At 40.4% G+C, this 25,834-nt stretch overlaps 1 protein-coding gene across 18 annotated transcripts in view, besides 1 other annotated feature; it reads left to right on the top strand.

Moving 5' to 3' along the window:
* The window catches only part of NHSL1 (NHS like 1), a 271,170-nt gene that overhangs the window by 146,030 nt on the left and 99,306 nt on the right, over nucleotides 1-25,834 (top strand). For 3 of the 18 annotated variants that reach the window (XM_047419118.1, XM_017011089.2, XM_011535972.3), the window contains exon 1: nucleotides 1,448-1,560. The exons of the other annotated variants lie outside the window; for them this stretch is intronic. In XM_047419118.1, the coding sequence (XP_047275074.1) occupies nucleotides 1,545-1,560 (16 nt within the window). In that variant the 5' untranslated portion in view covers nucleotides 1,448-1,544. Of the gene's footprint in view, nucleotides 1-1,447; nucleotides 1,561-25,834 lie in introns of those variants that run through there. 18 annotated transcript variants of the gene reach the window in all.
* Nucleotides 9,037-9,206: an enhancer, noted in NCBI's record as "experimental_90641 CRE fragment used in MPRA reporter constructs". NCBI's record gives its function as "activates a minimal promoter by MPRAs in K562 erythroleukemia cells, with activity observed for the introgressed 6:138859199 variant allele {active_cell/tissue: K562}" and the evidence as "EXISTENCE:reporter gene assay evidence [ECO:0000049][PMID:34662402]".

Here is a 25,834-nt window from a genome sequence, read left to right as displayed (position 1 = left end):
ATATGCTGCACCGTATGTTGAAAACCAAAAGAACATAGAGCATCCTTACTGTGTGGCAGTGAGCACCCCAGGACACAGACAGATAGATAGATTGGTTCTGTGAGTCAGTTTCCTGCATCCTGTGGAGTCAAAAGGAAGACCTGCAAACAGCAACGGGTCCTGTGAACAATGGCCACTTCCTGAGCCAGGAGACTCACGTCTCTGTGGGGAAGGACCACGGGGCCACTTAGGGTTCAGATGGTACTTTTCAAGCAGGGTGCTCCTGAGGCAGTATTTGTGGACTGTTTCTCATCAGGTCTGTCATAAGATTCCTTCTGCCACTTTCCACCTGTGTTTGAGAGTCCACAGTCAAGTAACCTTGAACTTGCCAGAGTGAATTTAGCTTTCCAGTGGAGGGGAAGAAATGTACTGATCTGATCACAGCCACAGTACAGTTAGAAATTCTCGTACTCTAATGCTGCATTTGTTTCCTCATTTGAAAAAATGACATTGCCATAGAAGTGTAACATGCTTCACATTTTTATCCTAATACTCAAGTGGTTTTCTTGTTTTCTGTTTGTTTGTTTTTTGTTTTGAGACAAGGTCTCACTCTGTTGCCTGGGCTGGAGTGCAGTGGTGTGATCATGGCCCAATGCAGTCTCGACCTCTTGGTCTCAAACAATCCTCCCTCCTCAGCCTCCCAAGTAGCTGGGACCACAGGTGCATGCCACCATGCCCAGCTAGTTTTTTTTTTTTTTTTTTTTTTTTTTTTTTTTGTAGAGATGGGGTCTCACTGTGTTGCCGAGGCTGGTCTCAAACTCCTGGGCTCAAGTGATATTCCCACCTTGGTCTCCCAAAGTTCTGGGATTATAGGTGTGAGCCACCATGTCCGCCCCGTTTTTAAATAGCAGTATGTAGTAGTAATGATAGCACTTACTTTGTGCTTATGATTTGTCTGGGACTGAAAGAGCATTTCACATATATTCACTCATTTACGTAGACTCAGACAACAGAGTGCAAAGTTTCCTATTATAATGTGCAGTGTTAATTATGTACCAGTATATGGTGTGTTCTATATTAGAAAAAAAAGGGGAGCATGTGAACAGAAAAGGAATAATGAAGTCAGTGAATAGTAAGTCATAATTAATAGCAAAAGGTTAAACTGAATTGAGTGATTTCTTTTTTGTGTTGTTGATCACGTGAAGAGCTGCATCCGCTGTGGTGGAAAATGCTGAGAGAGAAGCACAAACAAATGGGCTCGCCCTTGGGCTGATCTGCACTGGACTATATGAACGGTGACTGCTAACCCCTGGCTCCTTTCCCCTTTCAAGATGATTGCAGGCTGATTCCATGGTGTGAAATAACCCAGGAGAGATAGGGAGGTGTCAGCAGCACAGCCCAGCAGGCTGGGGATTGGGCAGTGGCTTCCTGGAGTAACAGGCGCTGGCTGGCCGCCCCGCTCTCTGGCAGTGAGCGCTGAGGAGGTGGGCTGGGAGACAGCTGTGCCTAGCACTGCAGGCTTCATCAGACCACAGAGCACAGCCCCTCCATGGAACTGCTGCAGAATGTTCTGTCTGAAAGGTGAGGGGACTTCGTGTCCATTTGGGTGGCAAAGTTCTACTTGGGGAAGATTGTCATTTAGCATCAGAGTCTAAATCACAGAGCTGATTCCAGTAAAAATCAAAGTTTGAGGGAGTTTTGTAAGTATGAAAGTGAAAAAGTCATTGTTCTTTTTTGTTGCAAACAGGAAGAAAGACCTCCTGCTGGGGAGATGGAATTCTCTTCTAGACAGAAAGGATATTTCTGTGTTTGAATGTGTTTTGTGTGTGTTTTGTTATAGACAAAAGTAGCTAAAAGTTTAAAAGAAGGTTTTTAAAATCAACTCAATAAATATAGGAATAGTTTACAGCAGTAGTAGAGAAATTTTCATGTAAGGAGTTGTTCATGTAAGGGTTAGAAGGAGTAGAAAGGGTAAAGGATTCTATTGCTTTAAGCTTTACTCTGTGAACTTAGGAGTGAAATTAATTTGACTATAGAACATACTTCTAGGCTGGGCGTGGTGGCGGGTGCCTGTAATCCCAGCGACTTGGGAGGCTGAGTCAGAAGAATTGCTTGAACCCAGGAGTTGGATGTTGCAGTGAGCCGAGATCGCGCCACTGCACTCCAGCCTGGGCAACAAGAGTGAAACTCGGTCTCAAAAAAAAAAAAAAAAAAAAAAAAGAAAAGAAAGAACATACTTCTTGTTCTGGCCACATATGGATTATAATACTTCCTAAGTACTATAAGATGGTGATTATATGAGTATATGTCGTCATTCCCTGATTAGTCAAGGAGTATTTTCTCTCTTTAGGCATTTATTTTTTCCGTCAACTCTATTTTTCTTCCAACTCTTATTACAATGTAATTAATGTAGGCATGTGAGAGTGTGTTTGTCTATGTGATTGTTGAAATGGTGGGGGTAGAGGGGGAGATGAATTTCCTTGGAACTGTTCTGTTCATATCTTTCAGTGTATGTCATTCTGTTGATGGGAAATTCTTGACATCTTTTCAAGTTTTGGAAATAAAGTGGTCCTGGCTTATTTGCTTTGTGGATTGCTCCTTTGTCCTCAAAGTCTGTTCATGAGGTATAGACGTGGATTCTGTAGACCCAGGCTTTGCAATTTTAACCTTATTTTGACATCTTAAAACCTACCAGTCTTTAATATTGAACTTGGTGTTTGGGATATTCCTTTATATAGTAGGTGCAAATTTGGTGAAATTGAAGGGGTAAGAACAAAAAGGAACATCACATTTTTCTGTCCTCAAGCATTCAATTAATTCTTACTACAGAGAGTATCTAGTTGCAGTGGATTTCCAAGGAGTCATGGGCTGACATGAATTTAAGTATTTCTGAAAAATAATTTTAGATGAAAGGCATTATGAGCTCTCATGACACTGTTTCTTCCAAAAATTGTTCTACAAAATGTTTAGGTATGAAGAGTCAGTGGTATTATTGGATGAAGGTACATGCTACCTAGTGTAATTTCCACAGTGCAGTTGAAATCATTACAATCCAATGATAGCTTAAGGTTTACAATTTTTAATTGAATACGGTTGTGGAATTGTTACTGGGTAGGACATCTGCAGCTTCAACATATTTTTCTCCACCTATTCCCATAACAGCCATTTCATTTTATTAAAGAATCTCTCATTTTCTTGGACTCTTAGTTTCTGTGGTAACTCAGAAAATTTTAAAAACTCAAACGTATGGCATGTGATGACAACTAAGTGCTTTTACGCTGAAGTGTGTGTTCTAATCAGGAATCCACAATCGCACCCTTTTAAAGCCTACTCTCTGATCTCCCGGCAGCTAGGACAAACAGTTGACATTCTACTTTCTTCCTGTGACTTATAGCTTGTTGATTTACAATAATGATTTTTAAGTTGTCCTTTGCCCTACATATGAAGCAAGCCCATGATAAAATAAGGGTGAGTGAGATTAAGCAGAAGAATAGTAAGAGCTACTTGTTGATGCTTTGTGTTCTTACTTTGGAAAAGTGGCTTTCATTCATTGGTCTGTGGCTAGCCAAGGTCCTAGGGGCTATTGCATATGTGGTTGTGATTAGCATTGATTTTAAAGGAAACATGATTGCTCTTCCTTTGGTTTAAATCATGTTCCTGTGTGTTTCTTGTAATTGCTGAAAGAAAATATTTAAATCAGATCGCTTCCCACATTGATGCAGGATTTCCTTTTCTCTACTTAGACTGTTTCTTTTCTGAAGCCAGGTCTGCTCAGCTTTTTGTCAATTTGGCCTTCCTTGAAGAAGGATGCCATCTTTCTCATTATTGTCACTATCGTAACTTATATAGTTACAATCACTCTTTGCTATTGAAGTATCTCAGATACATCAGCTTCTCCCAACTGCATTTTGTATGTGCAACATTTGAGCACTCAGTCTTTGTGAAGATGTTCTGCGAAGTTCAGCTAAGGTCTCTGTGGCTAACAAAGGCATGGTACGTTCCTTCACTGTGTAGCAAGTGATCCATTATGGTCTGGGAAGTGAATTATGGCTAATCAAATAATATGATTAATAGCGAATAATATGATTAATAGCAAACTACCATGTGTACCATTCACAGATTATTCTAAGACGTAGAATAGGCCAGGTGCCATGTCTCAAGCCTATAATCCGAATGCTTTAGAAGGCCGCGGAGAGAGGATCACTTGAGGCCCTGAGTTCGGGACCAGCCTGGCTAACATAGGGAGACCTTGTCTCCACAAAAAATTAAAAAGTTAGCCAGATGTGGTGATATGGAACTGTAGTCCCAGCTACTTGGGAGGCTGAGGCAGGAGGATTGCTTGAGGCTAGGAGTTCGAGGCTACAGTGAGTCATGATTGTGCCCCTGCACTCTAGCCTGGGCAATAGAGTGAGACCCTGTCTCGAAAAAAATGTTTAAAGAATAAATAAAAATTAGAATAAAATGTTTTTACTACTAAAGCTACGTGGAACATAATTACACTTCTCTGAAATAGTTCTGAATGTAGATTTCTTAATTATGGTACATCAGCTTTAACTTTATAAATACTAATTATCTTTGCAGTGCTTCTCTAACTTCGGTGAAGACTTTTTAAAAGAAATTTCCAAACCATTACAGACTGATGTTTTGTAAAACACAAAATCATGTGCTTGTGTGATATCACCACATTGTCAAACAGCTATAAAAGTTCTTAAACATTTAATCTCATTTCCTGTACTAATCTAATTGTGGACTGGTAGTGAAGTATTGTCCTACTGGCACTGGTTAGTAGACAAATCTGCATTAGTTTCCCAGAGCTGTCATAACAAATTACTGCTTAGTGAGTGGCTTATCCAGAAATGTATTCTCTCACAGTTCTAGAGGCTAGAAGTCTGAAATCAAGGAGTTGGCAGGGCCGTGCTCCCTCTGAAGGCTCCAGGAAAGACTCTTCCTTGCCTCTTCCACTTCCTGATGGCTCCAGGCATTTCTTGGCTTTCGGTAGCATCACTTGAGTTTCTGCCCCTCTTCCTACCGCCTTCCTTCCTGTGTGTTTCTCTGTGTCTCTGTGTCAGATGTTTTTCTTAAAAGGACACCACTTATTGGACTTAGGGTCCACCCTTAATCCAGTATATCACTTCACCTTAACTAATTACATCTGCAAAGACCATATTTCCAAATAAGGTCATATTCCAGGGTTGTGAGCGGACATGATTTTGGGAGGACGCTATTCAACCCAATTCAGTGGACCGCATGTAAAATCACATAGCCTGAGGGCAGCTGCATGGGAAGTGTGTTTAATGGAAAACTGTAAGAATGATATCCAACATAGCTGCTTTGAGGATGCCTTTGAAACTATGGCAATGCAAATTTAAGATGAGTTTGTATGTGTAGGTAGAAGAGTTGAAAATGTACATACCCATTATGATCAGTCATGCAAAGGAAAATGTTGCCTTTTTATTTCCTTTAATCGATTCGGCTTCTTTCATGAACTTTTATCCCGCTGAGAAGGGGAAAAACAAAAAACAAAATTGAACTTAGTTCACTGCAGTCAACTCAGTGTGAGCCAAAAATTTAAACAGTTGCATTAGATAGCTCAGTCTGTTGGATGACTCAGTCTTTCAACATTCTCCTGCTTATCCTCCTTCTCTTCAAAGGGGACTCTGTTGCTAAGTCCCCCTTATTAGTATAACAGAAGTAAACCATGCTAAAATATGTACTTTTGAAATCATTGGTGTGATTGTTACACAATGTTGAAAATTTTAAAGCAGACTCTCTGCTGTTGAGTTTTAAAAACGAGGTAATATTTTTTAAATGATGTTGCTTTTATTCTTATTTTTTTTGAGACAGAGTCTCGCTCTGTTGCCCAGGCTGGAGTGCAGTAGTGCGATCTTGGCTCACTGCAACCTCCGCCTCCTGGGTTCAAGTGATTCTCTTGCCTGAGCCTCCGGAGTAGCTGGGACTACAGGCATACACCACCTTGTCCGGCTAATTTTTGTATTTTTATTAGAGATGAGGTTTCACCATGTTGGCCAGGCTGATCTCGACCTCCTGACCTCAAGTAATTCGCCGCCTCAGCCTCCCAAAGTGTTGGGATCACAGGCGTGAGCCACCACGCCTGGCCTGATGTTGCTTTTAATATGGACAGGATGCATACATATATCCTTCTGTGCCCCAGGAATAATTTCACTATATTTTATAAGCATCACAGACCTCAAGTTCCTGAATTTACTAATGGATTTTACCTGGTTTCGCATTCTCTCTAGGGACTTTTAACCTGGTTTGTGTTAGACAGGTTCTTTCCCTTCCTCAGCCTTTATGTGTCTTCCAAGAGGTAGAAATCTAGTTTCATGGAGCAGAAAAGTGGTGAATTCTGTGGAATTGGGTGTGTCCCAGCTGCCTGCATGCCCCGAACGATAGGGTCCTATACTCTTCTGCTTCACAAGTTACTGATTTAGGAAGGCCTTTAAGTTGTCTAATAATAGCAAAGAGTTATGTTGGAGATTACAGCTATGAACAATCTCAGGCATGTGCCTCTGCTCCCACAAGGGCAGTTCATATTAGAAACTAACTCTATCCTTCGTCATCGTGCACCCTGGAACAGATCACAGGCCTCTTTCCAGTTGTCTTTTGTATGTTGTGTATGTAAAAGAATTCCTTAGATTCTTTTCTTGGCAGCATTTGGAAAATAATGTTAGGAATCAGAAACAGATTTGTTATTTCTGTGCTGAAACAAGTGCATTTTTCAAGTGAGCTAGTAAGCAACCATTTGCTCTGGAAGGTCCCTAGCCCCTTCTTAAATCTGGTAATAAGCTATCAGATAATCAGTGAGCAAAGTTTATGCTAGTTGATTCTGAGCACCATTTTGAAAGACTTTTAAAAATCAAAATGCAAAGCAACCCTGGGAATATTGCATCTGTGTGACTCTGGACATTTTACTATCATACATTTAGATGTCTGGTTTTATATAAATTATCAGTGGCTTTTAGAACCATTGTTCTACAATTCTTCCTGGTTCTTTCCTCCTCCTTTCATTTAAAATTGCATATAATTGTTAGTGGGTAATCTACAGCTACCAAAGGGAATTCCCACTTGCTCAATCTGCAATTTAAAGTAGCACTTTTAATAAACACAGTGGTAATAACATGCATTTTTCAAACTGGTGGGGAAAGCCCTTGGAATTTAATAAATGAAACAAAGCTGGCTAGCCCTTTATTTCTTTTGTCTTTCCCTTGAAAACGTTATCATGCTTTTTAGTTCTCTTTTTTTCCTTCCATGAGTAGTCAAAATCTGTTTCTTAAATCTGTTGCAGTAGAAGCCAGATTACCATGCTAAATAGGTTGTGTAATACTATAAATTGAGATGCTACCCTATGGACTGAAAGAGCAGTTAACAGAGTTTTGCCGCCTAAAACGAGGAGAACTTGGGGTCTGCTTGTTTCTGGAGCATGCTCTGTGCAAGGATTCATGCTCTGGGTAATTTTGTGGAACTGAATCAAATGACTTGAATTACTGAAAGCATTAGCTAAGATTTCAGTTAAACTCTTCATTTTAATATCTCCTGTTCCATTTCTACCTATTCTGGTTTCCTTTATTTGCTGATTTTCATGTTTGTCTTTTTTAGGCCCCCTACCTCACCTTAGCTGTCCTCCTCTGTGATGGCTCATTGGGGGAGCAGTATTACACCTAAGCCATATTGAACTCCTTCTAGTTACAAGGATGTGATCAGTAGTCTACACATGCATTAGAAAAGGTGATAGTTAATAGGCAAGGCAGATGGACCCGTGTGATAAAGGCAGGACATCATGTCACCACCATTAACCAGGTACAGATGTATGCAGGGGTATGTATTTTTCTGTGTTAAACATCAGAAGAAAATACTGCTGAAAACAACCTGAGGGTCTTTAAGCAATTAATAGATTTTGCATGATTAAACAGTTTGGCAGGATATGGTATTGGGGATGCGGGGTGGAAGATGGGTAGTCTTAAATTAGGAACATTAATTATTTTATAAAATCGTATGTAGCAATTGCATTTAAAATTAAGAGATCCTAATTTGACAGCCAACAGAATGACAAACTATTTGATTTAATGTCAGCAGTGTTCATCTTCTATCTGGTGATTATGTGACATTTATCAGTCTTTGTTAACTTAGATTACATTTAGAACTTTTTTTGTTGTTGTTACTGTCAAAATGTGGTTAACCCTGAGATCCATTGAAACAAAAGGCCTGAGTGACTTGACTGTGGGTTTAACTTGGGGGAGGGGGTGCATGATAACAGAAATGTGAGTGCTCATCACCACTTTTTCTTTGGAATGTCTTCTTATAACAAAAAGATATAAATAGCATAAAGTGAGCTTTAGGAGCCACAAGTTGTAGTACACTTTAAGTGAATTTATATATACACAGAATAGTTTTCAAAAGGTCAGATGATAACATATGTTTGTACTTGTGAAATTTTGCAAGACAGCATTTGAGAGCAAAAGAGAAAATCTCGGCTTTGCTGACCACAAGAGGCCATCTATGTTCTTCATTATTTTGTTTCACTGAGTGAACTGTGCAAGGTTCATTGTTGCTGGAACTTTCAGAATAAAAGTTGGGACAGACGCCTCTGCTCTCTCGAGGGCGCGAACATTGGGAGCAGGTTCAGGGGAGGATGAACAGTGACTTAATGTGTGGTCTCTTAGGAAAGGGAAGGCAAAGGACCACAGGAGCCTGGCTGACGAGCCTGGCAGATGCCCAGAGGATGCTTGACTTGGTAGAAGATCACGTGGGGAAACTGGGTTATACCAGACACTGAGAGTAGCAACTTTTCTAATTCCAAACAGAGCAAATGAGAAAGGGGCCTCAGAAAATGCCTTGGTGTTAGCTATGTGGGATGGCATGGCAAAAGAAAATGAAGTATATGAACACACCTAGCCCCCAGTGGTGGTACTCTATCTCTCCTTCCTTAGCCATCTCCTACAGATTTGCACTTTTGCTTTATCTAGACCCTTTCCTAATTTTAAGAGGACAAAGGAAGCTCAAGTCCCTTCTTTTTTCCTGGAAAAGTTTTGCTGTAACAGAATACCCAGTATTTTATGCAAAAGAGATCAATATTGTCCCAAGGTGGCTAATTTATATGTCAAAGGGTATCCAAGATTTGTCGACATTTTGAAATACCTCTGAAGTTCATCAACTCTGACCAAAATATTTTGATAGAATTTGGGGTGTGTTATTTCATTGCGTGTTGATGAGCACTTACCATGTGCCAGTCACTGTTCCTACCCCCAGGAAACTCTTCCTGTCTGATGCTCTGGACTTCTCGCCGGCCTGGATCTCTGCAGCCCCAAGACTTCTGGTTGTTTTCCTGCCCACTGTAAAGGTGCTACTGCTTGTGCCAGCTTTTGGCGGTTCTTTCTCCAAGATTGACTTTGGGAACAAAGCAAAGCCAGAGACTTTGTAAAGGGTTTCCCTGCTAATCATGACCCAAATAACAAAAATAATTAACACAGGTTTGTAAAGAATATTCAAGAAATCCCAACTCTATCCGTTAATCATATCATCTTATCCCTTGAGTAAAGATCTCCTTAGCTCTGAGAATGGATCTGCCTAATAAAATATTGAGGATTAAGTAAAGCTTACATAAGATGCTGGTATTTTCTCTGTAATATATAGTGATGTTATTTAAATTTGACCTCTCTAAGGGCTTAATTTGGTCTTTGAAAGTGAAGACTGATTTGTACCCTAATTTGCAAATGTAGTATTTCTACATAGTGAGAAAGGCAGATGTATTTCTCAGTTTTCATCACAGCATATTTACGCCAACTTTTAAAAAGTTTTCTGGACCTACACAGTTGTATAAATACATCCAGATGAATAAAAAAGTATTACAAGTCACATATATTGGCAAAGGAGCGTGGTAGCAACACAAATATTTTGAAAGCTATGTAAGCCAGTGAGAGTATCCTGATACCGCTCTAACAGCTCCAACGGAAGTGTTTGCTGCCACAGCAATTGAGACAAAACCTTTCCTTTTTGGAAATGTTTCCTGGCAGAACAAATACTTGATAAAAATTTAAAACAAGATTTGAACTGCTCAAGATGGTGCCTTTCATAAAATTGTTTTATTTTTACAAACTCTTTCCACATCAGGAAGAGAGAAATCTATGGGTGGATGGTTTTATCCTTATATAGGTGGAAATGTCCTTATTTTAGGTTGACTGCTGTACTGAGGAATTGGGAATGAGCTCCCCTTAATTATTGGGTTATTTCTCTTCTCGTTGTATTTCTTCTTCTGTCAGTAATTGGCAGCCTATTTTTCATCTTAGAGAGAAGAGGCCAGGGAGTGTAAGAGCTGTCCACCTGAATTGTCAGTCAGTAAATTACGATGGAAGTTTAAAACAAGTAGCATACTCAGAAGATGACATATGTCTGGAGTTGGGGGAAAGAGGAGGGAGAGCATTAGGACAAATCCCTAATGCATGCAGGGCTTAAAACCTAGATGACGGGTAGATAGGTGCAGCAACCCACCATGGCACATGTATACCTACGTAACAAACCTGCACGTTCTGCACATGTATCCCAGAGCTTAAAGTGAAAAAAAAAAAAAAAAAAAAAAAAAAAAAGATGACATATGTCCCTCTCCAAAACCACGGAATCTATAAATGCTGAAAAGATTGAATGCAGATGATTAAATTTGTGATGTCTGTAAGCATGATTTAAATACAAAACATTAGTTTGATGTTTGCCATCACTTTTAGGTTTGGGTTTACAAGACTGCTCCTATAGAGATGGCTGCTTTTCCGTGTCCAGTGAGAACTTTTAATGCTAAAACATCCAGTGTCGTTTCTGCTTGCCACAGAAAGTCAATGTTGGTTGGTATGGCAAATATCATAAATCCTTATTTGTATGTTATTTGACTTACGATAACACACTTGGCTGAAAATGAGTTTGTCTTAGTCGCTCCCCAGTCCTCACTCACCTTTGTGAAACCATAGAATGGATCCATTGTTGGTGTGTTATCTGCAAAAGATAAAGTGTCTATGAGCTGGGGAAAAACTGGAGCCCCCAAAATAAATGAGATTCCTTTAACACATGCCATACCACAGGTTTCTCCCAGACTGCTGTTTTGGACTATGTTTGACTAGATTTCCTTTACTCTAATTTTCCCTTGCCCTCTTTTTAATTTTGGAAAGCTACCTTCAACCTCTGTGTGTGAGTAGCCACCCTCCTTTGTCTCTTGCTTGACGTTGGCCCCCCAGCAACTAGCTCAGTGTCATGTCTAAAATTAGATCAGTCTGTATGGATGCCCTGTAGGGAAGTGAGAGAACAGGCTCTCTCTGCCAGAGCAGATCCTCACCACACAATGAAAATTCTCAGTTTACGATAATTCCTAGTCAATGTCATGAGTCTTTTGCTGTTTTACAGTAAGGCAGTCTGGTATTTGGTGTACTGAACTGCAGATATGAATATCTAGCTGCCACATTTTCACCTGGATGTCTAACTGACCTCATGAACATATCAAAATTCCTGTCCCCCACCCCTATCTATCCCACTGCAGACTTCCCCATTTCGTGGCAAATCCACCCTTCCAGTTGCTTATCCCAAAAACCTTGAAGTCATTTATGACTTCTTTTTTTGGTAAGGGGGTGTCGGGGAGGGGAGACAGGGTTTTCTTGTTCTGTTGCCCAGTCTGGAGTGCAGTGGTGCAATTATGGCTCACTGCAGCCTTGACCTCTTAGGCTCAAGTAATCTTCTCACCTCAGCTTCTTGAATAGCTGGGACTACAGACATGCACCATCATACCTGGCTAATTTTTTTTATTTTTGTCGAGGTGGGGTTTTACTGTGTTGCCGAGACTGGTCTCGAACTCCTGGGCTCAGGCAATCCTCCCGCCTTTATCTCCCATAGTGCTGGAATTATAGGTGTGAGCCACTGCGCCCAGCCAACAACTACTTTTTTTTCTTATTCCTACATTCAATTTGGCAGAAAATTCTATTGACTATATTAATTTTTTTCCCCATTATCTGACTACCTCTTACCATCTAAACTGCTACCTGCTTGGCCTGAATTTCACCTGGATTATCATAATAGCTTCCCTTTATAGCCTACTTTCAACCCAGTAGCCAGAGTAGATCTTTTAAGACCAGCGATATCGTGCCAGTCCTTTGCTTTAAAGCTTCATTTCACTCGGAGTAAAAGCTCGTCTTGGCAATTTCTCTTTATTTTTGAAATATCAATCACAGGCCTGAAATAAACCTAGGAGGAGAAAGTCTGTTTTCTAAGCTACAGAACTTGCAGCTGCATCAAACCTTTAGTCTGGAAGAAAAGGAAAAGGTTTCCCTGCCGAACTACAGTCCCAGCTGAGTCGTGTTCTTGTTTGATGCTCCAAGAAGGTATGGTCTTTAATGAGACCCCTCCATCTTTTCCTTAATGCAAGTGAGGATCGTTCCACCCCATCTCATTTTATCATTAAAAGTGGCAATCTGTGTACTAAATGCAGCCACAGAGATTTACCTTTGGGCTTTATTGACCAAGTTTGATAGAGTTTCTGTTGGAATTTTGGAAAACTGATTTCCATGGCTTTATTGATAGGGATTAAGTTAGAAATAAACAGCAGGGAGCCTGTAGAAGTTAGAGAACTAACTTAAATGTTGGAGCAGGTTAGTTTTTATTTGTATGCATATATCTGTTGTGCTGAGGTTGATGTGTGATGAATTCTATGAAAAAGGCTCTGCTGGTAAATACAGGGTATTTTACCCTTTCAAAGGGCTCCTTTTCTTTCATAGCATTATTAAAATGGAGAGTAGGATCCAACCCAACTCACTGAGTGGGATTTGCACGTTCTATGGGACCTGAACCCTCTTTTTTTGTGGGGTCGTCATGTACCAAGGGTCCTTTGCTTTGACGACTAGATTGTAAGCTCCTTGAGGGCTAAGTTCATTAACTTGATCCAGAAGAATTCCAGTAGATAATTGCTGATTAAAGGAATGAAATATTAATATTTAATCTAGTTTGGGTAAAAAGACTTTAACCATCACTCTCTATGAAAACAAATGGACTTGTTTGAGAATAGCTTAAAATATAAAAGTAGATTGTACTACTTTCAATGGGACTGAAAATACGCAGGCTATTAATTAGCAGAGCAAGAAAGATTTTTAATTCTGAGTTTCATTTTTTGTAGCAACTCAACCAAAAAATCTGATGAAACAGTTTCAATCATTAATGGCCTGTAGCATGTGGAAGCTGGTCATAGAGGAGGAGAAAAGTTAATGTGTTTCTAGAAATTTAAACATTCAGAACAAATGAGTCTCAGCTTCGTGGTGACTGGAAGGAAGATAAGCATCCCATGTAGCTTCTTGGTCTTAGAAGTGGCAGGTCACCGTCTGGAAAATGGCCCATTGCCTGTTGGCCCTTCTCAAGCATCACTCTGAAGTGGCTACACTTCTCTTGACTAAAAAGGATTAAGGATTTACTCACCAAGGAAAAACACACCCTTTATCTAAGCACTTTCCTGGCTCTTGGGTTTTCAATGTTTTAGAAAAACACTCCAATGCATAGTCCCATGAATGGGCAATTGATCATAGACAGAAAAAAATTATTTTCAGAAATATGAGATTATTTCTCTTAGTAAATCATCATTTAAATGTGTATTTTTTAAATTTATTTTTTATTTTTTTGAGACGGAGTTTTGCTCTTCTTGCCCAGGCTGGAGTGCAGTGGCGTGATCTCGGCTCACCGCAACCTCCACCTCCCAGGTTCAAGCAATTACCCTGCCTCAGCCTCCCGAGTAGCTGGGATTACAGGCCTGGCTAATTTTATATTTTTAGTAGAGACGGGGTTTCTCCATGTTGGTCAGGCTGGTCTTGAACTCCTGACCTCAGTGATTTGCCCACCTCGGCCTCCCAAAGTGCTGGGATTACAGGCGTGAGCCACCATCCTGGCAGTAATTTTTTAAAATAATAATATTCATTGAAATTTTATTTCATTTGGTCTTTCTACCCTTTGTTCTAAATTTTTAGGTCCATTTGATTATTTTCTAGGGTTCCCCTGTATCTATTTCTTTGTATTGCCATTACATTTGTTCCTCATTTTCTCTAAATGTGTTCACAATCAAGTCACTGTGTGTTTTTGTCTGTATTAGGTACTATTTAAGCGAGTTGATTATTACTCAAGACCCCAAGTCAGAGTGCACCTAGAGGTACTCTGTTAATCTGTTGAGTAATTAAGTGCTTAGCTACCGTAAGGACTTCATTCCTTCCCCTTTATTTCTGTGAACTGTTATGGTTATTAAAAGTTATAGGAACCTTGACCTCTGATAGGCTGCCTTTTCAGCTTCTGTCTTGTAAGTGGGCTCATCATTTTAATGTCCAGTTGAGATCTTATTAGATTACACATTCGGGATGAGCCTGGAATCTTCCATGATGCTATTAGCCGTGAGTAAAATTTCTGCATGTAAAACAGAAAGACCCCTAACCTAGGAATCAGAGTTTCTGATCCCAAGTCTCACATTTATTGACTCAGAATAAGCCACCTAACTACTCTGAGCCATTTGTTGCCATCTAATAAATAGAAGTGATTGCCCTGCTTGCTTGATGGGGTGATTTTGTGGGGGATCAAATGAGATAAGATACCCAGAATGTAGCCAGAAACTAGGAACCCTCTTTCTCTCTCCTCTCCCATTCTCTTGTACTTCTTGTCAATTCCATCCCTTCTCTCCAGCCCTTGGGTCACCACTGCCTCAGTGAGATGACTGTTAGCATCTCATGCCTTTATTAGGCTCCTGACTCACGGATCCTAGGCTAATTACCTAGCATCCCTTCTCCAAACTCTATCCAGAATGAAAAAACAGATTGCAACTGTTTCTTCTCTGGTTAAAAAGTCTTCAGTTCCCTACCACCACTGTTCCATTGCCTTCAGGATGAAGTGTAAATTCCCTAACATGACATAGAGGAGCCCTTCATGACAGAATGCCTCCTTATTTTCTTCTTGAGCTTCAATTCTCAGTAGCCTCTTCCCCCATCCATATTTCCCACTGTGTTCACCTTCCTTGGCACGTGCCAGGACCCTCTGCCTTGAGGGAATATCTGCTTCTCCCCTATTGCTTCAACCTGATCTTTAGATTAGACTTACAGGATTCAGTTCAGATGTTACCTCCTCTTGGAAGTTCTCTATAATATTCCAATGCTGGTTAGTAACCCCTTCTCTGAGTTACCTATCACAGTGTCATACATCTGTCTGTTTTCTTGTGCTAGGCAATAAGAACCTAGAGGGTAGGGAATGTGTATTGTTCATTACCATTGATACCAAGAAGCACATAAATGTTGGCTATATTACTTTGTTAATAATTGAAAAAAATTTAAGATATAAAGGAAAATTCTGGTGTATCATCTGGTTTAATATCAGAAAAAGAATTAGCCAGGTATTGTGGCTCACACTTGTAATCCCAGCACTTTAGAAGGCTAGGCAGGCAGATCACTTGAGGTCAGGAATTGAAGACCCGCCTAAGCAACATGGCAAAACCCTGCCCCTACAAAAACAAAAAACAAAAAGACAAAAAAGTTAGCCAGGTGTGGTGGCACATACCTGTAGTCTCAGCTACTGTGGAGGCTGAAGTGGGAGGTCAAGGCTACATTGAGCCAAGATGTTGCCACTGCACTCCAGCCTGGGCAACAGAGCAAGACCCTGTTTCAGGAAAAAAAAAAAAAGAGAGAGAAACAAAATGGTTGACAAATGAAGTAGATCTAAGAAAAACAGAAACAAAATGGAAAGCGTTACCCTGCCCCCTTATTTGAAGTTACAAAAGTTACAAACTAACTGTTCTTACCTGGAATACCATGCCTTGCCCTGGAAGATTGTATTTAAGAGGAAATACCACAGTATTCTGTAAGAGTAAATTAGAATGGACATTGTCAACCAAAGGCAGTTATTCAAGACTAGGAGTGATGCTGTTTATTACCTGGAATGGTGGTGAAAACTAAAAATATGAACCCATTCAAGAAAATGCAGACAAACAGTTTAATTTTTGATTTATATCTTAGTTCAGACTGCTATAACAAAGTACCATAGACTGGGTGACCTGTAAGCCACAAATTTTATTTCTCACAGTTCTGTAGGCTGGAAGTCTGAGATCAAGGTATCAGCATGAATTCTGGTGAGGTTCCTCTTCCGGGTTGCAGACTGCTGTCTCCTCATAGTATTTTCACATGGAAAAAGAGAGGAGAAAACTGTGGCCTTTTTTTTAAAAAAAAAATATTTTAAATTTTATTTCAATAGTCAAAAACTATTGAACAGATGGTTTTTGGTTGCATGGATAAGTTCTTTAGTGACGATTTCTGAGATTTTGGTGCACTTGCCACCTGAGCAGTGTATACCCTACCCAACATGTGGTCTTTTATCCCTCACCCACTCCCATCCTTTCCCCCAAGTCCCCAAAGTCCATTATACCATTTTAATGCCTTTGCATCCTCATAGCTATATATCACTATATTTGGTAACTCACTTAGTAGCTACCACTTATAAGTGAGAACATACAATATTTGGTTTTCCATCCCTGAGTTGCTTCACTTAGAATAATGGTCTCCATCTCCATCCAAGTTGCTGCAAAGACCATTATTTCATTCCACTTTATGGCTGAGTAGTATTCTATGGTGTGTATATATATCAGATTTTCTTTATCCACTCTTCAGTTATTGGGCATTTAGGCTGGTTCCACATTTTTGCAATTGCAAATTGTGCTGCTATAAACATGCATGTGCATGTATCTTTTTCATATAATGACCTCTTTTCCTTTGGGTAGATATCCAATAGTGGTATTACTGGATCGAATGGTACTTCTACTTTGAGTTCTTTAAGGAATCTCCATACTGTTTTCCATAGTGGTTGTACTAGTTTACAGTTCTGCCAGCAGTGTGAAAGTGTTCCCTTTTCACCACATCCCTGCCAACATGGTCATTCTTGCAAGAGTAAGGTGGTATCTCATTGCAGTTTTAATTTGCATTTCTCTGGGGCCTCTTTTGTAGGTGCACTAATTTTATAGGTGTACTAATTCCATTCATGGGGTCTCCACTCTGATGACCTAATCACCTTCCAAAGGCCCCACCTCCTAATACCATCACATTGGGGATTAAGATTTTAACATAAGAATTTTGGGGAGACAAACATTCAGACCATTGTAATCTATAATTGATTATTAAGGCAAAATGGTCTGTTTGAGTCTTCTGGAATTAAAGAATTCAAATAATGGAAAACAACTCCAGTCTACTAAATATGATAGGCAAAAATTTTTACCCCTGTGACTTTTATTCCTGCCATGTCTGTCAGTATGTTACACTACATGGCAAAAAGGGACTTTTCAGATGTCATTAAAGTTACTAATCAATGACCTTACCCAAGGGAGATTAGCCTGGATTATCCAAGTGGGCCTAATGTAATCACAGGAGCACTGAAAAGCAGAGCTCTCTCTGGTTGATGGCAGAGCGGAAGTTGAGAGATTCTGTGGGTGAGGAGTCAGTACGCTGTTGCTGGCTTGAAGATAGAGGGAGCAGTAGGAGACTGAGAAGGAACTGAATTCTGCCAACAATGAGCTTGGAAGCTGATTCTTCTGCACAGCCTTCAGATAAAAGCCCAGGCTGGCCGACAGTTAAGTTTAGGCCTTGTGAGACCCTAAGCAAGGCCCCCAGCCAAGTCTGCTGGACTGCTAACCTGCAGAACTGTGAGATAATAAATGGGTATTATCTGCAGGTGCTAAATTCATGTTAAGTTGTTATAACAGCACTCATCATAACATGGCTCTCATCCGAGGCAACATTGAGAATGAGCCTTTAGAAAGGCTGTAGAAAACTACTACGTCATTAAAACAAAACAAAAAATGGAGTTGAGGGACAGGAGTGTCTTGCTTTGGGAACCTTTCTATTAGATTTGATTTCCAGTAGAACTTAATATTGGACAATGTCTGATAAACACCAAAATTGAATGACCTTTCTGACACCTGCAAGGGAGTCTTTATTTCTGGCTGATGCAAGAGATCTTTCTCTGACCCCTGGAACATCATAGTTGACCCAGTGCAAGCTCCGGAGTGTGTCTCAGACTTCTAAAGGCCCCAGCGGAGACATCAATCAAGGGAATCTTATGCTATTATATGCTGACTTTGTGCAGGAGAGGTTAACAATAATAAATTCAAGGAATGAAGATTGTTTTGGGTAGTAGAATATAAAAGGCTCATTCTCAATTTTTCCAAGTGTTTTGTAAAAAATAGGACATTTGAGATGTTTACTTCTTTTCAGCACTGTTTTTCTAATGTCGCCTTTATGAGGGCCATGCTGTTTGTCAAAGGCTCCCTCGAACCTCAAACACTGGAAACATACTAATCTTGTTAATGAGAAGAGAGGATTTGATTTTGACTTCATTCCGGAAATACTGTATTCTCTTACTGCAATTCTAAAAACCATTCATTTTAGTTGTCATGTACAGGATAGACAAAGACTTAAGTCTGGTCTGTGTTTTGCCAATGTGGTGAATCCATCCATATTAAATATTTAAACAGTTGACTTGGTATCAAAATAGAGAACAATTTTGTCTGTATAGGGTGATAATTAATAGCAGTTAGAAATTAACAGTTGATAATCCTGTTTAATCCCTCACCTTTGTAGAAATTAAGTGATTACTGCCTACATTTGTCTAGAGAACAAATCATGAATTATATGTTTTTCCCTCTCAAAACATCAAATAACAAGAATTATAGATAACTTCTTGAATGACTAGTCAAAGAATGAAAATTTAAAAGGCAGGGTAGGTTGGCAGGTAAATCGTCACTCTCCACTTCCTTTCTTCCTGAACTCCAGAACTTGGTACAGTTGTCAACTCATATCTGCCTTGATTTTTTTTTTCTTCTAAAGATGACCTCATCCCTTCCTTCTGAATGAATACCTCTGGCTCTTTCACTCTGTTCTGCAGCTCTCCTTTGCTTCTCTGTTACTCTGGCTATTCCCTGAGTATTAGGAATATATCTTAAAAAGTAATACAAGAAATAAAATCTTGGTATTTTAGGCTTATCATGTAATCATCTGGAATTATATTTACTTATACAGCTTTATAATTATGTCAAATAACTTGCTTTCTCTCCACAATCACCCTGAGTTTTATACGTATAATTTACCAGTTTCCAGTACACTACAAAATATGGATTGGAATATGGCCCGCTTAGCTCAGAGGAGGAATGTAAGAAGCATAAATGAAAAGAAAAGTCTGGCATTCGTTCACAGGCTCTTGTGTGAGGCTTTCTAATCACTAATGACTTTGGCTTAGCCAGTAGAAGTATGTGGCAAGTCACTTAACTTCCCGAGGTCCCAGCTCTTTCATCTCAACTACACAGATGGTAATTCCCTAACTCATAAGAGCTTCATGAACTTTAAATGGGGCAATGCATGCATAGCTTGCCTGGAACCTGGCTAGACCCAGGAACTGTTAACTACTATTTTTCTTTCTGTCATGTGTGTGTGTTCAATGCTACACAGCCTCTGAAAATCTAACTGGTATTTGTCACGCTGGAGCCTCAAAGAGGATCTTTTCACTTTGGGTTTTCAGTCTCCTAAGTGGATTGGTAAGGGGCGTAGTATGTACCCACTTCTTTCCACTGTTCATATGTAAATGCTTTCAACAAATGCCTGGACACTGGTAATCCGGCTGCTCTCTGACTTGCCATTTATCTTGAGCTATAAATTCAGCCGCTATTCATGGATGCAAATGAGGGGATTTGTTTTCATGGTGCTGCAAGCCTCATAAGCCTTATTACTCTTTTGTCACTTCAGATTAAAAAAAGAAGAGAAACTTTTTTTTAAATTTTTTGGGGCAGGGGGCACTTTTGCCCTCCTTCTTTTAGATTCCCAGACTGCAGTTTGTGAGCAAACTCAGAGCGATCCTCTAAATGTCTGTATGATTTTTGGTGTTTCATAGTGGTTTTTTTTTTCCCTTCTGTACTTAATCTTAGTTTCCCAAATATGTAACCATGAAAGAAATCCTCATCTGCACAAAATCCAATGCAGCCTCCCAGCGCTGGTCTTGACCTCATATGTCAATAGGATAAAGAGGAGGAGACTGAAGAGCGACGGCTCGGATTTGTGTGCTGCCTACACAGCTGGCTCAGTTTGCTTTCTTGTTTAAACGCCCCAAAGCAAAGACAAAGACGCTAATGTTAGACACATGACAGGGTAGAGTGCCGTTCTGAAGTGTATCTTTAAGCCCAAAGAAGCGGGATAAATGCTGGTGGAATTCCCAAAACTACCACGAATGACAAACTTTATCGATACTATCAAGATGGATTCTGTTCAATTTCTGACGATGTATCAGCTGATTTTGAAATTCATTAGTATAGTGGTTAAAAACACAAGGAAAAGAGGATATTTAAATTTTAAAAGCAGACTTTTTAAAGAAATAAATGATATAAAGTTACATTTCAAAACTCATGGGATGTGGCCAAAACTATATGCAGAGGGAAATTAGTAAGCTCATATATTTTTAAAATAAAAAAGAATAAAAATTAAGCACGCAACTCGAGGTAAAGTATAAAGAAACATTGAAAAAGCTTATCATAAAAATAGGAGAAAAATGGCAAACCCACTGGAGTTTGTTTCATATATTTACAGGTGTTCTGGGTAAAAGTAGAGAGGGCAGGGAAGTGGCAAGTACAATATAAAAAGGAAGAAGAGTGGGCACTGTGTGTGGTAAAATAGGAAGTTTTGTTTATTTTTCCAGACAGGGCTCACTCTATCACCCAGGCTGGAGTGCAGTGGTGCAATCTTGGCTCACTGCAGCCTTGACTTCCCAGGCTCAAGTGATCCTCTCACCTCAGCCTTCCCAGTAGTTGGGACTACAGGTGAGCACCACCAGGCTTGGCTAATTTTTGTATGTTTTAGAGACAGAGGTTTGCCATGTTGCCCAGGCTGGCTCCGAACTCCTAAGCTCAAGTGATCCATCCACCTCAGCCTCCCAAAGTGCTGGGATTACAGGTGTGAGCCATTGCACCTGGCTACAAAATAGAATGTTTTGACATTATGATCTGGGAACTCAAGGGCATGTTTAAAATTCTATTCTTTCTATTTTATTTTTGCCCAAATATTTTCTTTTTTTTTTTTTTTGGAGACAGAGTCTCGCTCTGTTGCTCAGGTTAGAGTGCAGTGGCATGATCTCGGCTCAGTGCAACCTCCTCCTCCCAGGTTCAAGCGATTCTCATGCCTCTGCCTCCAGAGTAGCTGAGATTACAGGCTCCTCCCACCACAGCTAATTTCTGTATTTTTAGTAGAGATGGGGTTTCACCATGTTGGCCAGGCTGGTCTCGAACTCCTGACCTCAGGTGATCTGCCTACCTTGGCCTCCCAAAGTGCTGGGATTACAGGTGTGAGCCACTGCGCCTGGCCAGGTCAAATATTTTCAAATAATTCTTTTTTCTAAAAGCCTTCCTTATCAGATCCCAAAGTATTTCTCCAACACTTAAGTTGTCATTAAAACTCCCCTATGTACCCTCATTGTATCAACCCAGCTAACCTTCATTTTTATTTTGTTTTTTATTTGGCAACAAAGTACGTCCTGATTTTATATAGTCTAGCTTTGGGTACATTATAGAGTGAGCATATAGGACTGCATCTTTCCCTTTTTATTTATTTATTTATTTATTTATTTATTTATTTATTTATTTATTTATTTTGAGACAAGGTCTCACTTCGTTGTTCAGGCTGGAATGTAGTGGAATGATTTCAGCTCACTACATCCTCGACTTCCTGGGCTCTGGCGATCTTCCCACTCAGCCACCCTGAGTGGCTGGGACTACAGGTGTGCACCACCACACCTGGCTACTTTTTAATTTTTTTATAGAGAGAGAGAGAGTTGCTATGTTGCACAGGCTGGTCTCCAACTCCCGGGCTCAAGAAGTGTGTACACTTTGGCTTCCCAAAGTGCTGGGATTATAGGCATAAGCCACCGTGCTCAGCCCCTTCTTGTTTTTGATAGGGCTGAAACATTATCTTTTTTGTCTGTATGACACAATATTGCACCCAGAATCGAACTTAGAGCTCAACTAGTGCGACCCTATCATTACAGAGGTAAAAAATCCAACGCCCAGAGACATTAAGCTTCCAGGACTCACCTGGCAAGGTGAGGACTAGAAATGTCCATGGTGGGCCAAAGCTGCTCTGTCTCCATCATGGTTCGTAGCCGCCCATTTGCCACTTACACATATCCTTTCAAGATCCTTTCAGCCAAATTTTTCTTTAGCTTTTATTACACAAACCTTTGGCAAGCAGGGCTCCCGTCATTCAGATGATTTTTAAGTATTCTTTTAAATTTATTTCTGATGTTTAAGAATGGGCTTCTGGTAACGTTTTATGAGATCCTTCAATATTTTTTTGTGTGCCCATTTGCTAGGGAAGAAAACCTTTAAATCACTCTACTAGTGTTTCCTATTTGGGAAACTTTTTGGCAATATCTCCTGAAGCTGACTATGCACACACTCTGACCCAGCAAATTCCCCTTCTGGGATTATACCCACCATAACGAGATACTTAATGTTTACCAAATGACATGCATGAGAATGTTCATAGTGCACTATTCCTAAAAGCCCCAAACTGGAAAAAAAAACACTAAATGTCCATTAATAATACAACAGATAAGTAATCTTTTACCATACCAATAAGAATAAACATGTTACTGCTACACACAACCACATAGATGAATCTCACAAACACAGAAGAGTGTGATTCCAACCATATAAAGTTCAAAAGCAGGCAAAACTAATCTATGGTGATTTTATTAGGGTAATGGTTATGTGTGGGGATGGGGCTAGTGGCTGCAAGGAGGGCATGAACAGGAGGTCTTGGGAGCTGGTAATGATCTCTATCTTGATCTGGGTGCTGGTTACATGGGCGTTCACTTTGTGGCAATTCGTTGAGCTGCATACATAATTTGTGCTCTTTTCTGTACCCAATGAAAAGTCTGCTTAACACCAGGCTTAATTTTAGCTTTCAGTACCCCTGTTTTGTGTGAGCCTGTGTGGGGCTTGCTTCTTGATTTACTCAGGTAAGTGCTCATTCTTCAGAGGTAAATAGGAGGGAACCTTCAGGGTCCCAGACCTGGCTTGAATTCCCACCCCACCACTTGGCAAGCTTAAGGCCTTTGGAAATTACTTAGCTTCCTACTCAGTCTTCATTTCCTCAACTCCAAAAATGGGCATAATCACAGCTCACACATCTCAGGTCTGTAATGTGAGTTCAATGAGATCATTCACATAAAATTCCCAGCCTGGAGTAAGCACAATTAACTTTTTGCTATTATTTTTATTTTGTTTCCCTAAAGACTATTCTATGTTTTTATGACACAAGCAATCTTGCCATTTGGCTGCAGGCTAGACCTACAGCATGGACCTATGGCATAGGATTTGGGCTTTCCCATTCAAAGGAGATGTCACATCCCAAATGACTCATCTTCTTCAGTACTTCAAATTCATAATCATTTCATGTCAGTAAAACCAACCAAGAATTCCCCTGTGTCAGTCTCCTGTCTTCTATTCCTGGAGCTTTTAGCTCTGTTTTTTTTTTTTTTTTTTTTTTTTTCCTCTTTAAAACATCTCTAGGCTGGGTGTGGTGGCTCATGCCTGTAATCCCAGCACTTTGGGACGCCAAAGCGGGAAGATGGCTTGAGTCCAGGAGTTTGAGACCAGCCTGGGCAACGTAGCGAGACCCTGTCTCGACAAAAAGTTTAAACAGTTAGCTGGGTGGTGGCTCGCACTTGTAGTCCCAGCTACTTGGAAGGCTGAAGCAGGAGGATCACTTGAGCCCAGGAGTTCGAGGCTATAGTGAGCTATGATCTCACCACTACACTGCAGCCTAGGTGACAGAGTGAGACCCTATTTCTAAAACATAATAAAATAAAATAAAAACAAAATTTAAAAACTCTCTTTAATTCACTGCCTTCTCTGGCTCCCCTTCTGTCCCCACCATTCCCCTGCCCCACCATTAATTTTTTTTCTCATAAATACAGAAAATACTTGGTGTGCCGCAAAACTTTATTGGCCTGACTTTCCCTAAGGACCTTAGTGGGTATATTCTGCCCAGATGAGTGATTCCTTCCAGGAATGTTCTGGAATCTGCACCAAGCCAGTTAGTTGATGGTAGACTACAGAATGTTATACAGAGAGATCATGAAAGGGTGGGGGTGGGGGGACAGAGACCCTTCCTTTTATTTTATTAATGAAACTCATTCATTCAGGAAATAATTCCTAGCCTTTCCGCCTGAAGATTATTGTCATTCATTAACCCAGATTGTTAAATCTTGTTTTGTTATGTAAATCTAAAAAGGCTTTTCATTTTCAGTGCACCATAGACTCAAACAAATTAAGAGAGCTCAAAGAGAAAGTAAACTTTTTTTTTTTCAGACAGGATCTTGCTCTGTCAGCAGGCTGGAGTGCAGTGGCACAATCACGGCTCACTGCAGCCTCAGCCGCCTGGGCCCAAGTGATCTTCCTAGCTCAGCCTTCTGAGTAGCTGAAACCACATGTGCGCCACCACACCTGAGTAAATTATTTTATTTTATTTTATTTGAGATGGAGTTTCACTCTTGTCACTCAGGCTGGAGTGTAATGGCGTGATCTCGGCTCACTGCAACCTCCGCCTCCCGGGTTCAAGTGATTCTCCTGCCTCAGCCTCCTGATTACAGGGATTACAGGTGCTTGCCACCACGGCTCAGTAATTTTTGTATTTTTAGTAGAGATGGGGTTTCACCATGTTGACCAGGCTGGTCTTGAACTGCTGACCTTAGGTGATCCATCCGCCTTGGCCTCCCAAAGTGCTGGGATTACAGGCGTGAGCCACCACAACTGGCCTAAATTTTATATTTTTGTAGATACGGGTTTTGCTATGTTGCCCAGGCTCCAAACATTCTTTGAACAAGGAAGTTACAGTGATGGATTTCCATTTTTGAAGTTACTTTCTTGACTTCACATGTCCTTCAGGGGCCATCCATTTTTCTATTTATCTTCAGAGCAAAATTTAATAATAAAAAAGTCTGCATCTGATCTGCTTTCTCACCTCCTCTTCAGTGCATCTGACTCTGGATTTCTGGCTCCACAGTATCACAGGATTGTTCTCCAGGGTGTTCACGGTTTCCACGTGGCCAGACGCAATGCTCACTTTTCTGACTTTGCCGTACTTACTAGCATATTCTAGGGAGCTGAAACAGTTTCCTCTGTTGGATTTCCTGAAGTCATTGGCTGCACTTCTGGGCCTCCTCCAAGGCTCCTCCTCTTCTTTCTGACCAAGAGTCTTCCTCTTTTCTCTTCCTGCCCTCTTTCCCTTGATGTTCTCTTTAAGTGGCTTTAAGTATCTTTTTATAGGCTAATTTTAAAGTTTTTAAAATCTCCCGCCCTGACCTCTGTTATGATGCAGACCCCATGCCCATATGAGGTGTTCCACTTTGCCCATCTAATTATCTTCTAGCCACTGTTTCCTCCGGGTTCTCCTCCCCAATAAATAGCACCACCAGCCTGCACTTAGGCACCTTCAGCAAAAAACTCTAATCCTCTTTGATTCCTCTTTCTTCTGTCCCACATCTAATCCTTTCCAGTGCCAACCTAAAATGTGTGACAGAGACCAACTCTTCCAAAGCAAAGAATTTATTTGGGAATAGCAGGGGATTGCAATCCAGAATACTCATGCTATGTCAAACCATAGGCATATTCCAGGGGGGTGAGGCAGGGGGTAGCTGTTTTGTTTTGTTTGAGGCAGGGTCTCACTTTGCTGCCCAGGCTGGAGGGCAGTGGCGTGATCATGGCTCACTGCAGCCTCAACCTTCTGGGCTCAAGGGGTCTTCCCGCTTCAACCTCTTAAGTAGCTGA

Source organism: Homo sapiens, chromosome 6 (genome assembly GCF_000001405.40).
Source record: "Homo sapiens chromosome 6, GRCh38.p14 Primary Assembly".
Taxonomy (NCBI): Eukaryota; Metazoa; Chordata; class Mammalia; order Primates; family Hominidae; genus Homo; species Homo sapiens.
This window is presented reverse-complemented; position numbering and strand designations above follow the sequence as displayed.